General features: G+C 47.0%; 2 long non-coding RNA genes across 2 annotated transcripts in view; one reads left to right on the forward strand and one right to left on the reverse strand.

The window, feature by feature from the left end:
* The window catches only part of LINC01237 (long intergenic non-protein coding RNA 1237), a 197,360-nt gene extending 184,589 nt beyond the window's left edge, over positions 1-12,771 (forward strand). The window contains exon 4 of the long non-coding RNA NR_110220.1: positions 12,509-12,771. This is a non-coding gene — a long non-coding RNA (long intergenic non-protein coding RNA 1237). The remainder of the gene's footprint in view (positions 1-12,508) is intronic.
* Positions 1-14,653, reverse strand: part of LINC01880 (long intergenic non-protein coding RNA 1880) — a 36,455-nt gene that overhangs the window by 18,268 nt on the left and 3,534 nt on the right. The window lies entirely within an intron of this gene.

Raw genomic sequence — 14,653 nt, forward strand, 5'->3', positions numbered from 1 at the left:
CGGGAGTTTGAGACCAGCCTGACCAACATGGAGAAACCCCGTCTCTACTAAAAATACAAAATTAGCTGGGCATGGTGGCCCATGCCTGTAGTCCCAGCTACTCGGGAGGCTGAAGCAGGAGAATCGCTTGAACCCGAGAGGCAGAGGTTGCGGTGAGCTGAGATCAAGCCATTGCACTCCAGCCTGGGTGACAGAGCGAGACTCCGTCTCAAAAAAAAAAAAAAATTTCACTTCAACAGAGAAACTAAGACTCAACCAATGTGAGCATTATAAATAAAGAGAATGTAAACGTTATGAAGTTGAAACAGTAAGTTGGAGTTTTCTGAAGAGAAAGCTTTTTCAGGGCCCATACCTCTCCTGCCTTTATAGATTTTCTTTTCCTCGAGCTACCAAAAGATGCCTTTGTCCTTGAGGTCTGGTTACAAGTCAAGGTATTTTACGATATCGATCTTTATCACTTTTTTTCTTGGAACAGAAGATAAACAGGTACAAATGTTTCATTTTTTTAAAGACGCTTTGTGTTCTCAGCTCTTTGATTTTCTTTATTTCTTCAGTCTTCTTTAAGAGCACCAACTGCACCCATGCTATTTCCCGTCGTCTCCACAGCTACCATCTTCTCTGAGGTCACTGCAGTCGCATTGCCATTTTTCGTGTCATCCTGTGTGACTTCCTCAGATCTGTTCCACGCGTCAAGGGCTGTTTCCCGTCAATTTATTCTACTTCTTTGGGCTTCTCTGTCAGCTAACATGTTTACATCTGGAAGGTTTTCCTCTTGCATTTATTTCCTGAGCCATCATAGCTCATTCTTCCCTCACTCCGCAAACTGCCCCTGAGCCCTTACACCCTTCAGTTCTTTTCCCTAGAAGGGCTTAACTGGACTCTTACTTTGGAGCGATTTTGTTGTTTCTTTGGATTTCTTCCTTCTTTGCCCTTTTCAGTTTTGATTTTTGTTTGTTTGTTTGTTTTTTGAGATGGAGTCTCAGTCTGTCACCAGGCTGGAGCGTAGTGGCACAATCTCGGCTCACTGCAACTTCCGCCTTCCGGGTTCAGGTGATTCTCCCACCTCTGCCTCTTGAGTAGCTGGGGCTACAGGTGTGTGCCACCACGTCCGGCTAATTATTTGTATTTTTAGTAGAGATGGGGTTTCACCATGTTAGCCAGGATGGTCTCGATCTCCTGACCTTGTGATCCACCTGCCTCAGCCTTCCAGAGTGCTGGGATTACAGGTGTGAGCCACTGCGCCCAGTCTTGAAACATTTTAAAGACAAAAAAAAGTACAAATAATTTTATAAAACAGTCATATTCCCACAACCAGAATTAACAAAATATTTTGCCACGTTGGTTTCTAGTCCTTTGGAAAGGACTCTGGCGAGGTAGAAGGATCCTTACAGCAACACAGTTGCAGCCTCTCCCACCCGGGGCGGCCAGTTTGAGGTATTTGGTTTGTATTTTTATATGACTGTTTTTTAAGTTTCACATACCCGTATATTTGCATTTATCCGTGACATAAATCTGTCTTTTGAGCATGTTACTGACGTGACGGGCACTGACCTGCATTGACGACTCTGCTCCTTCCTCTTCTCACAGTGCCGGTTAACCCAAAATCCATCTGGTCTGTTTCATTCTACTAGTTTTTGGCTGTTCACACCTAGGCTTCTATTTATCTAAAGTATCCTTTTGAGGGTGGAATGAGGCAGGAACCCTGTTCCCCAGATGAAAGCCCAGTCCCTGGGCTGTGTGCTGAGTGCCTTGTTCCCAAACTTAGGAAGCTGTCTCCATCGGGTCACAGACTCCCACGAGAGTCTGTCTCTGAGCTCTGCACTTTTCTGCCAACCTATTAACGCCACACTGTTTTCATTACCATACCTTTGTATATATTTGCTTTCTCTTCCAATTTGGCTTTTTTTTTCCAAAAAAAAGTTTTAACTGTTTTTTCTCCTCAAACCTTTTAAACGTTAAGTTATTTTTAAAAATGTTAAAAAACAAAAGTAGATGGGATAGGAGAGTGAGCTCCTATGTGTCTGTCCTCAGCATCAAAAAATCACCAAATCAGGCCCAATTTCATTGCCTCTGCTCCCCCACCAGCCTCTCCTCCTCCCCCAGACTCTTTTAAAACCAATTACAGGCACTACACCATGTCATCTGTGAGCATTTCTGAAGATATTTATTCACATATATTCTTCCATATGTGCTCTGGAATCAGTTTGTTAAAGTCCCCATATATTTTGATGAATCTTGATGGAATGTTCACTGAATGCTAAGATGTTGGAGAATTTACTGTTATCCAAATACTCCTGTCCGAAACACTGGTGCTTCTCCTCCTCAAATTCTTCCTTCGGGCCTTTCAATAACATGTTTGTAGTTCTCTCCAGGAAGGTCTTGCACATATTTTTGGATTTTGCTCAACTCTGACTGTCATAGATTTTACTGTGGCCATGAATGGCCCACATTTAGGGTTCTATTCCCCATCTGGTGACTGCCAGAGTAAATGCTAAGAACTCCCAGTACAGCTCTTGTTCTCTGCACTCTTGCCGAACTCTTGTATTGATGTCTGTAATTTATTCAAAGATTCTCTCGAATTCTATATGTATAGAATCATAGCATCTGCAAGAAAGTCAATCTTTTGCTGTACTTTTTTATTCTTATAGTTATTTGGGTTTTTTTTTTTGTTTGTTTGTTTGTTTGTAATTTTGAATTGTATTGCAATGGTTTGGGATTTCAATGTGTTGCTGAATAAGAGCAGTGATAATTGGCAGCATTTTCGTGTTCTTGATATTTATGGGCACTGTATGCTTTCCATCTGCCTAATGTCTTTTTCCTGCCTAAGTGTTTGATTTTTCCTGGTGTCTCTGCGTAGCCCTGTGTGGTTCCTGGCTGGTGCCGTTCCTCTGTTTCCTGGTGTCTCTGCGTAGCCCTGTGCGGTTCCTGGCTGGTGTCATTCCTCTGGGGAAGGAGGCAGCTCTGCTGAACCAGCTACATCCCTAGGCCCGGCAGGAGGCAGGGCGAGGGAGTGAGCTGTGGAAAGAACACATCGACCGGGGCTTGCTCCCCTGAACACCTTCAACACTCTTACCCTCCTCTTTCACTTCATTCTCCTCTTCTCAGCTTTCCTGGGTCACCAATGGGTGGAGGTGGCCTCTCGCTCCTGTCCACCTCATCACAGGCTGAAACCCTGATCATGAACAATGGAAACTGTTTATGGACTCAGGTGCATTCTCGCCTCCCGCATCTCCATTCCTCCTTCCCAGTGCCCCTCAGCTGCGGTGCCCATCTGCACCCAACACTGGGGCAGAACCTGGCTTTGGGGCAACAAGTACTCCACAGAGTAGGTCAATGGGGTGGGGCATTCAGGCAGAGTGACACACGGGTTTGCCCCAAACTTCACCTCTGGTAGGGGGTCTCCTGGGAATCCCACAAAGGTTGGGCCTGGCAGGGATCGGCGACAGGACTCTGCCCTGGCTGGGCCTGTTTCTGTCCATCTGCTCTTTCCCTTCCCTGCCCAGCTCGTTGCTGAGTCTGTGGACATGAGATGCGCCAGGGACAGAGAGCTTGGGCGTGGGGGGGCCTGTGACCCTGGGGTCTTAGGGAGCCTGCTTGGGTCACACCATATCTCCTCTCTGCCCTGCGCCTGGCACTGAGCTGCCTTTCAAGGCTGAAAATGTGGGCTCTGTTTTCCATCTGTCTGCATCATTTATGTTGAGACGCTCCCAGTCGTCTGATTTTCCGTGTTATCACCTCAGGACATTTAAACAATTAACGGTTTAGCAGCAGGAAGATAACTGCCACATACACAGTCAGTGTCCTGGTTAGAAAACAAGCAATCAGAGAAAATATGTTTTGAAAAGAATTAGTGGGCGGGCTGAGCTTCCTATCTTTCACCTGGTAGATTAATGATTGTATGTCAACACAGCGACAGGCTAACATTTTCAAATAGAAAGACATGTGATTAAATCTCTCTTTTGATGTGTTCTGCAAATTGCTTCTCTAAGCTCTGCTTCCAAAGGGCGGCTCTCCAATTAGAGTCAGATTATTATTACGGGTTAGCGATCACTCCTGCTCCCGTAGCTGACTCATTCTTTAACATGCTAATTAGCAAATACATCCAGTGCCTTGCATCATATTTGACCTTCAGCGTTCTTTTCTAACTGGAATCATTTCATGCCATTCCGATGAAATGGAGACATTGTTCTGAGGTTTCTGACCCCTCCCTCCTAAGGGCCCCGTGATCTGCCACAAAGCCCGGGAAGATCAGCCACACACACACCCCTCTCCGGATCATTCTTTTCCAGAGGTCAATGACTTAATAAGTTCACTTTCGTTCAGCAAGTTTACCGTTGCTCCTCTTAAAGTGACAGCTTGTGTGTTCGTGACAATTTGGTATTGTTACTGAAGTGGACCTCACACTGGGGTCAAGAATTCCTAAATTGCTACCTAATGGTCACTGTGAAGAGAGGATGCTGTACCGACCACAGCTGCATCCCACGGGGTCTGGAGAGGACCAGAGGCCTGGGCCCCACCAGGTCACAGAGTTGGTCATGAGTTCCCCTTCTCCTTTCTCTCCTTACTTCATGTAGGTATATTCTTTCTAAAAAGATTAAGTGGCATCATATAAAATTGATATACCTGCTTCTCACTCTTTCAGCTGCCAGAGGCTCCAAGGCCCTTGGTCCTGGCTAGGCCCCTCCATGGTCACAGCAGTGATGGCCTCGTCCTTCCCACATGAGGACCCCAAGGGTAACCCTGGGTAACTCCCACCCAAGGGCCCTGCTTGGAGCCTGAGTCCACCTGCAGCTGGGTGTCCTTTCCCCCATGCCCAACACACTCAGTCTCTGGGGATCAGGGTTTGTGCATCTCTGGGTGGCTGCTCCACCAGCCCCAGCAGGGCGCCGTGGGCGCGTGGGTCCTGTGCCAGCATCTGCCTGGCTGTCACCATGGGCATCTGCCTGAAGGCAGCAGTTCCCCGCCTTCCTGCCTGCTGTGAATCTCGTTTCTGCTCCCTGGTTTCTGCCTGGCTGTCACCATGGGCATCTGCCTGAAGGCAGCAGTTCCCCGCCTTCCCGCCTGCTGTGAATCTCATTTCTGCTCCCTGGTTTCTGCCTGGCTCCCATGGAAGAGATCGTCGCATTCTCTGCTTCTCTCCACTGTCTGCCCTGCTCCTGTAAGCACGGCCATTTCTGTCAAGTGCCTCTCAACCTCAGAGTTCATGCAACACTTGAGGTGAACAAAAAGCCCAGGCCTCTCCATCTGGAGCAGGTTTGCAGATTCTCATAGCCCCCATAATTGTCGCTCCAGAGCGGGTTTACAGACTCTCATAGCCCCCATACTTGTCGCTCTCAGCAGCTATCTCAGAACCTGTTATTTATTAGCCAAGTGATGTGATTGGTCTCTCTTCTCATTAGATCACGACCCCTATGGGGACACGAACCTGTTTATTCCCACACTGAGGCTTCAACCCAGGGCCTACGCTTAGGAAATACTTGACATTTGTTGAGTTTGTGAACAGACGAACATGTCCCCCATTAAATGAAGCTGAGTGAAGTGGAGGCTTAGAGGAGATGGTGACAGCAGGAGATGCAGCCGTGGGAGCAGATTCTCCCTCTCAGTGACATCACCAGTGCAGCAGCTGACCGGCGGCTGACTGTGTGTGGGGGTCAATTGGGCAGCTTCGGTCTGTCCCTCTGTAGAGATGGCTTATGGTGCAGATGTGCAGCAAGCAGGCCTGGCTCTCCTGCAGGCCAGTCCTCACCCACCTGTGCCTCAGTTTCCTCTTTTGTAAAACAGGGACAAGGCAGTCCTCCTCTCGTAGCAATGTGGGGGTGGCTGAGGGAGCTGTGAGCATTTGTCCCTGGACTTAGGACAGAGTCTGGTGTGCCCTTTGAGACTGGGCCACCCTTTAAGCTCCAGCACTCCAGTGACTCCAGCAGCATCAACTGTGCTCCACTCACACGAAGATGCTCTAGACTGTAGACACACCATTGCGTTCATGGAACCGAGAGAGGAAAAACACTTCCAATTAAACTATGACAAGCCATGTAACTAAGATACATTCTGATTCCTGAAATGTGAGGCTGTGAACACCATGTGTGCCCCAGCATCTCTAAGACACCAGTGTCCCAAGGGAAGACACTGAGGACCATGATGGGGCAGTGCCCAGCGGGGCACGATGGCTGAGCGGGCTGCTGGGGGCCAGCTGCCAAGCCAGGTGGGCTAGAGCCCGACTCCCGTACCACCTCCCCGCCCAGGAGCTGGCGGAATGCGTCTTCACATTGTTTTTGCTGTGGCTCCTGACTCTGCCAGCATGAAACACATTTATCTCAAAATTTCTCGCGAACACATACTTGATATTATTGTTCTCAGAATATTTACTGGGAAAGGGCATAAGGACAAAAAGGCACTTTGTTTAGTAACATTTTACTGAATTTGTATTTAATTCATCACAAAAGCATCTAAGCACCTTGGTGGACCCAAAACCACACCTGGAGACATGTCAGTCTCAGACCACAGTTGCTTGAAGGGCCCTTATGACAACTCAACATATTCCCAGGGGTTCCAAGACCACAGCCTGGGATTCTGCACTCCAAAATGAGGTTTACAGCCCTTAGTCAGGTCTGCAAGTTCTTAGCTTCTAGAGCAGCCTCCAAGATGGGAGCTCATTTAGAACGGCCCCATACCCCCTTGAGCACCCCAACTCTGAGCCTCCCCAGCAGCCAGGTGTTGTCTTGGTGTGCAAAAACCCCTGATTGTTTTTAAGCTGGTGTCGACACGCTTCCCTGTCATTGACCCTCATTGTGCCAGTAAAGCTGTGCTACACAATTCAGTTCTGTGTTGTGGGATTTGCTAAGAACCCTGCTGCAAGGTGGGTTGTTGCCCCCGCGGCACCTTCTTCAGAAGCCTGGATTTCTATTAGTTCGTCTTCACGGGTGGAATGGCTGCATGCATTTCCCACCCGTGCACCCTGCCCATGGTAGATCAGAAGGAAGATTAGCAGGAAGGAGTTTGCAGCAATAGAAATGTTTTTTCCTAATCTCTAAGCCGGCTATACAGACTGTCCTAGCCTTATCTCAGAGCCAGTAATGAATTAATCAAAACGCAGAGAGCTGCTTCTGCAGGTGAAATGAGCACTGCTAAGAAGCTGCTGATAACATCCTTCAGGTGATCCTCTTTTTTAAAAAAACATATATTTTGTCTCTATTGGATTATTTTCCTTCTCTCAGGGACACTGCAGCGGTGTATGCCCAGATCAGCATGAGCATGCCCAGATGCTCCAGGGTCCAGCACAATGACCACACCCAGCCCCTCTGTTACCTGCAGTGAGCACCGGTGAAGGGGAATGAAGAAGGCCCTGCTGCAGGGTGGGCAGTGTGGAGGGAGGGACTTGAAGGGGCCGTGGGTCTGCTTTCTCGGGGAGGGACCATGGGTGCAGGCGACAGACACACCTGAGCTCCTGTGGAATCATCTTCCTGACTTCTTGGCTCCGGGCTCCAGGGTCCAGTCCAGTTCCCATCCACACGGAAGGAAAAGGATGAACAAACTGAAAATCAACAACTCTTCTTCACCCGTCGGAGAACTGAGTCACCAGGCAAAGCACGGCCCCCAAATCTGGAGACACAGACAAGTGGGTTCTGAGAACCTCAGCTGACAGGAGCAGAACCTCTGCGGGGCCAGTGCCAGGGACTTGAGCTGCCCCTCATGAATTTCTGGAGATGCCACCTGGACAAGTGAGAGAAAAACTCCAGGGGAACCCAGTCATGGGGGACCTGCGCTTGGTGAATTTTACCTCCGAGAGCTCGACCAGGTTCCCACATTAGAGAGGAAAAATCGGCCAGGCGCGGTGGCTCACGCCTGTAATCCCAGCTCACTTTGAGAGGCCGAGGCAGGCCAATTGCCTGAGCTCAGGAGTTTGAGTCTACCCTGGGCAACATGGTGAAACCTCATCTCTACTAAAATACAAAAAATTAGCCGGGCGTGGTGGCGCGCGCCTATAGTCCCAGCTACTCAGGAGGCTGAGGCAGGAGAATCGCTTGAACCCAAAGGCAGAGGTTGCAGTGAGCCAAGATCGCGCCACTGCACTCCAGCCTGGGTGACAGAGGGTGAACTTGTCTCAAAAAAAAAAAAAAAAAGGGAGGGAGGAAATATCCCCACTTACTTACAGCCAGGGGAAAAGGATTATTTTGAAATACACCCTGTTCTCATGAGGGCTGCTTTAGGGGGAATTATTTCACCAGAGTCTAACAGACCCAAATTTTTCATCAGTCTAACCTACTTGGGGAAAAGCAAACCCCAACTCCAGCCCCCTCTGGCCTTCCAGGCCCACCCAAGGGGGAAGGGGAGATACAAACTCAGCAGCACTCTGTGAGGTCATGGCACAGGGCACAGGCTCTGGAAACTCTGGTCCTAAATCACAGGGCCGTGCGCACACCTTCCAACCACCGCAGTTCCCTGTCTACAGGCCCCTCTACAATAACGGGTGTTTCCCAGGAAGAATGCTTGTTTCAGGCCTGACTCTAGGAGAACTGCCTTTCTGATGTTAAGGTGTCAGAGGGCTGGCTTCTAAACCCTGGGTTAAATCATTTAGTGGCACATTTAGCCATCAACCCGTGAGAGTTCAGAAAGGACGCACGTTCACATGCACAGAAACAGTAAACAGGCCGGCGCCATGGCTCACGCCTGTAATCCCAGCACTTTGGGAGGCCGGAGGTGGGCCGATTGCTTGAGCCTAGGAGTTCGAGACCTGCCTGGGCAACGTGGCGAGAGCCCTCCTACACAAAAACTACAAAAATTAGCTGGGCATGATGGTGCATCCCTGCAGTCCCAACTACTTGGGAGGCTGAGGCAGAAGAATCACTTGAGCCTGAGAGGTGAAGGCTGCAGTAAGCCGAGATTGCCCCGATCCACTCCAATGTGGGCCGCGGGAGTAAAACCCTGTCTCAAAAAAAAAAAAAAAAAAGAAAAGAAAAAGAAACAGTAAGCAAGCTTGCTTCTCTACTCCTCCTCAAGGAGAAGCAGCCATTGTCCCATAATATTCATAAACCTGCTGTTGAAGGTTCTCAGGGAGTCTTGCCTTGCACACCTGTGTAAGTGCAACGGCCTCTCCTGTGCCCTGGTGACGTCTCCCTGGCATTGTTTCTGCTCCAAGTGCCAACTTGGGGATCAGGCCTCACTGTTACCAGCCTGGTGTCTGCACCACCCCTTGTGGTTTTCTTAAACCCTCCTCACAATTTTGTACACTGTCCTTTTATTAAACACTCCTTAAATGATCCCAACTTGAATGTTCTTTGTTTCTTCTCTAGTGGGACTCTGACTGACACCCCTGAGAAGGGACAGGAGGATCAACAATGTAACATAGACCTCTTTCCATTCCCTTTGGCAGATACACATGTCACGTGGTTGCTGTTCTCTGTCTTAATTTGGGTGGTGTAACTACTTGCAACTTCACTGATCTCTCCCTCACCTCCTCCTGGGAGAAGGCCAGAGGAATGTTGAGGCCACAGCAAACCACAATGAGGACCCAAGCGTCTGCAGGACCACAGGGAATTCTGGGCACAGCTCTGCCAAGAATCCTTCCTACCCCCTATTTTCTCAACCAAAATGCTGTCTAATATATTTTCATCACTTCCCTGTACCCACTATGAAAAGTGCTCTTGGAAACTGACATTGGGTCAAGCATACAGAAATAGTTAATATTTAGTTTTACCTCAGAAATTGTGGTCGTTCTGTTATTTATAGCATCTGCAGGAAATGCTTATTTGCTCTTGGAATCCAACATTCTTAATAGGACATCAAGCAATGTTTTCCAGGCACACAGGGTTTATATGGTAGAGCCAGGAGCATTTCATTTGTCCTTCTTACCGGCACCCACCTGGGTCACACAGTACCTGGCCATTCAGCACAGGAGGAGCAAAGGGTGAATTGAATATTGGCATCCAGCTGGGCCACGCCTGGAGGTTGGCAGACATCCGAGTATGTTACGCTTTCCTCCTCCTGTGCTGTATTCATTCCACAAATGTTTATGGCATATTGACCACACCCAGACCCTCTGTTACGTCCCCTGTGGGAGGTCAAATACATGAAAATGACTTGGTGCTGTCTTCAGAGGCTGCAGTTCAGCCCAGCCACGTGAGGCCACCATCAAGACCGCCTTTCACCCAGAGCCCCTTAGGACTAGTGTGGAGATTTGGGGAGCCTGAGTCTGCCCAGATTCTCTGATTTGAATAGAGCAATAACACTTTATTTGCTTTACATGTTAACTGAAAGCCCAGTCAGTCACTGGAACAAAGAGTTTGAGCATTTCAAAGTCAGGTAGGAATGCACTGATCTGTAGCAGGGTTCCAAGCCTGTCTACCCAGGATCAGCTGGAAAGATGTTTGATAATGGAGGGCACAGGTTTTACCACCATTAAAATGAACGACACCTGGTGGAGGTACATTCCAGAGCTTTAGCAAGCTCTGCAGGTGAGCCTGGGTGCACAGCCTGGCAGACTTGGGAGCCGTGTGTCTAGACCCAGGGTGAAGGCGGTGCTGTGCATTAGGGCAACAAGCTGCTTGTTTATGCCCAGACCCCACCCCAGAAAATCTGTGTAGGCACGACAGGGCTTGAGCATCCATATTTGAATAAATAGTACAATACTGCAGGTGACTCTAGTGCAAGCAGCTGGGGACCACAGGTGGAGAAGCATGGTGCAGAGGACCCTGAAATACAGGAACACAGCGCCAGCACATCTGCCGTGCTGGAGTTCTGCAAATGATGGCTTCAGCTCCACAGATGGTGGTTTCCCTTATAACAATTTGAGGCTTAAAAATAGGGCTTCACTTAAAAAGAACAGTGGATATTTCTGAGTGGTGGAATGATGAGTGGTTTCTAAATGTGTCTTCCTTATGTTTGTCTGAACTTTCTGGGTTTTTTTCTATCTTTATCCATTTATTGATGCAATAAATCTTAAGCATATAGTATATGCCACCTACTATATTGTTTCAGCAAAATGATATTAATTAATAATGTAATAATATACTAATTAATATAGGAGTGCAACTAAGAAATCTGTCTGCTTTCTAAGCAATAATTTTAGAGAGGCATTTTTATCCTCCATAGTTTGGTTCTTGGCCTCCTCATTCATAGAAATCACATTATATACACTTCCCAGGGGCTTGTCAAAGCCTATTTAATCAATAGCAAGCTGACATATTTTATTTGCTCCCTTCGAGTTGACCCATCTATTTTATAAATGTGCGGGGTGAGGCTTCCTCTTCTTCAGGTTCCTTTCCTGTATCTTTTTATTTTCTGCAACCTCTTATATTGTTCATAACCACATTTCTCCTATTAGTCATCTTCCCTGCTTTGAATCTCTAGTTAATATAGGAAAAGCTTCATACAAAGTACTGACAATGGTAGCAAATCAGTATCTTAATGTTCTACAGCTGTATTAAACAAGCAAGGAGACTGTCAAACTTTAGTAAGTAAAACAGCAACAGAATCTGCACATCTCCATTTACCAACCTTCTTCATGCATTCTTTCAGTTACACCGTGTAATGAACAGACTCTTCTGGCCTAGAACAATAACATCCACAGATAAGACTGCTTATGAGAAATGTGTTCTGTAATTTGTCCATTCATTCATTTATTCACCAAGTATTTGTTTAGTGTCTGCTATGTGCCTGGAACTTGGACGCAGCAGTGACAAAAGAGACAAAAATTTCTGCCCTGGTGAAGCTTATGTCCTGCGGGTAGAGACAGAGAGAATAAATAGGTAGAAGACACAGTATGTTAAAAGGTGGAGAAATAAGCCCATGTGAGGGGTCCCTGAGTCTGCGGAGTGGCAGCTCTAACTGAAATAGTAAGGGTAGAGCTAATAAGAAGTGGCTTTTGAGCAAAGCCTTGACAAGGTGAGGAACCACTCACACTGTAAAAGACACCTGCAGGTCAAGGTGTCCTCAGGTTGAGAAGTGCCTCATCTCATGCCAACTTTTCAACTTAAAAGATACAGTTTTTGTATGATACTGCACAGATACTGTCTTACTGGGCAATTTTCCTTCCATCTCAGGATAATAAAAGGTAAAACCGGAGGGCACTTCACACATCATAGCCAGAATCACAGTAAATCTGTGTTTCCTTCTTATAAGTGCTCTTTTAAAGTCTGATAGCTCAACAAGTATTGTAGACTGTACAGTTGTCCTTCAGTGGAAGGAGAAACATCTACACAAAGTATGTCATTTATTTTCTTCTCAGGCTCTTTCTTTAAAATACCTGCCATTTGTCATGGACCTCTAAGGCTGTCTGGCTCATAATGTTAGCAGAATCTTTTCTATTAGTGTAATTTGCTCCCAGTAGGGCAAAAAAATCTCGAAATAATAATATTCTTATGTTTCTTTCCTCTACTTCCTTCTGCATGACTTTGCACTCACTAGTTGACTACAGCATCCACATTGCCTTGAAAAGAAGTAGGATTTTTTTTTTAGCTGAAATGAAAAGTGGAAGAAAGAGTAAATTTTCCTTTTTTTTCTTCCCAAACAGGAACAGTACAACATGAGGAAGCAGAATCAATGCACAGAAATTAAGCTAATGTCTTCAGTCTTTGCAACACCACTTGAGCAGCTTGACCAAGTCACTCATGCCTAGTGGCCCCGTTAGTTGCTCTTCTCCCATCAATGAGCTTTGGAATTTTCGTCAGTAGCTGCCTATGCATTACTCATGGATCAGAGAGCAGAAAGAAACCAGACATTGCCAAGTCCCACCTAGGTAGCTACACAGGGAGCCCTGTATTGACCATGGCCCAGAACATGTGCAAGCGCCTTCCCATATGAGAGGGAGGGGCATTGGATTAAGAACCTGGTGACTCAGAAGGAAATATCCCCACCAGTGCTTTGGTGGGACTAGAAAATGGAGCCCACTCCTGACACCAGGAAGTGCTCATCTGGAGTTTAATTGAAGACAAAAACCCCAATGTTGGTGCCCAAATGTCTCTGCCTTTTGAAATTGTTGTGTAAATTCACTGATAATTCTCTTAGATTCACGTGGAGACATTAGTATTTTAACTGTTATTCATCCCTTTAAGGTCATCTTTAGAAGACCCTACATTGTGTTCTAATTGCTCAGCAGGGCTCCCTCCTAGAAGTTTAGACAACAAACTTATGCACATGTGGACTGCACCATCAGTGCCCTGGTTATGTTGGAGTAAAAGTGTAGAGAATTTTTAGGAAAACAGGCAGAAGTGTAGGTATTTTTGCTATTCTTTGCTTCACCTATCCACGGAGGTGGATAAAGACACCTGGGAAGGGGAAAATGTGGGCTAGCAAATAGAGAAGAGGCTGCTACTAGGCTGGGAAGTGCCTCCCTCATTTACGACTAGCCAGAGACACTGAACTTGGCTGTCCAGGCAAGCTTGGGTTCTGGGATATACCGAAATAAACCTTGGCCTTTATACAGACTTATTCCTCAAGCCAAGTTGTTTCACCAACTTGGTTCTGAAGATCCAGACCCCAGTTGGCATGAATCCATCCCCCTTAGACCCCAGCTGGCATGAATCCATCCCCCTTTCCATCTTGCCATCTTCAGCCCTCCCGGTGGAGCGGAGGTTCTCACCTAAATAGAGAAGCTAAATTTCTACCTTCTGATTTTACCTTTTCCATGTGTGCATCAGGCACTTTCTCCAAAAGATAAGAATCATTTGTGTTGACATCTTCACTTATTCAGTTCCACCTTCTCTTCTAACTTAGTAAGGATTTCTGCTAGTTAAATTGGCTTTAATTTCTTTTGCTCCCAGAAGTTATTGGAAGAATGCCCATTAACCATTTCATCATATTATTTCTATAACCCAAATTAATTTTCCAGAACATGCAGCATATCACCATAATGAGTTGCTATGACCAGTTGCATTAGAAAATATTGCCTTTCTATTTTTTTCTGTATTTTTAAATTCAATCAAAAAGGAATAAACTTCTGCTGACGAAGCTGCTTGGAAAAACCCATGCTGTTTAACGTGCACTTTCACTACCTTCAGTTTACCGGCTTCTTTGCTGAAACCCTGGGACCAACCATCTGTGGCCGGTCGTCATCATTTGTACAACCAGTGGCCCTAACTGGAAACTTGGAAAATTCCCACTCCTGGACAATCTGGCACATGGAAACATTCTTCTCAAGATGTGCTAGAATTAAGACTCATTAACGAACAGAAAGCACCAACAGCTCTCATAGTTTACAATAGGCACAGGCCCAGTGGGGTGCTGGAGGTGGCTGGAATCGGCTTGGGGGAGTGGACCAAGTGCACCCCTTCCCGCCTCCTCATTCAGTGTTGTCTCATGGGCAGTGTGAAATTAGCCATGGTTGGAGTCTATACATAACAGAAATTAGCAAATGCTACAAGTAAGGGCTTCCTCACACTCCTGCCCCTCTTCGGAAGAGCTGGGTTTTCAGCTCACCCCGGACATAATGCACTTGGCTACCTGGGCCATGGCCAGGGTATGAATGTTTGGTTCCCCCACAAGATTCCTGTGCTGAAATCCTAATCCCCGTGTGACGGTGTTAGGAGGCAGGGTCTTTGGGAGGTGATGAGGTCACGGAGGGGAGCTCTTGTAAATGGGATTAGTGCCCTTAGAAGGAGACCCCAGAGAGCTGCCTCTCCCCTCCAGTCACGGTGGACAGGAGATCAGGGTGAGTGAA

The sequence above is a fragment of the Homo sapiens genome, chromosome 2, assembly GCF_000001405.40.
Source record: "Homo sapiens chromosome 2, GRCh38.p14 Primary Assembly".
Classification (NCBI taxonomy): domain Eukaryota; kingdom Metazoa; phylum Chordata; class Mammalia; order Primates; family Hominidae; genus Homo; species Homo sapiens.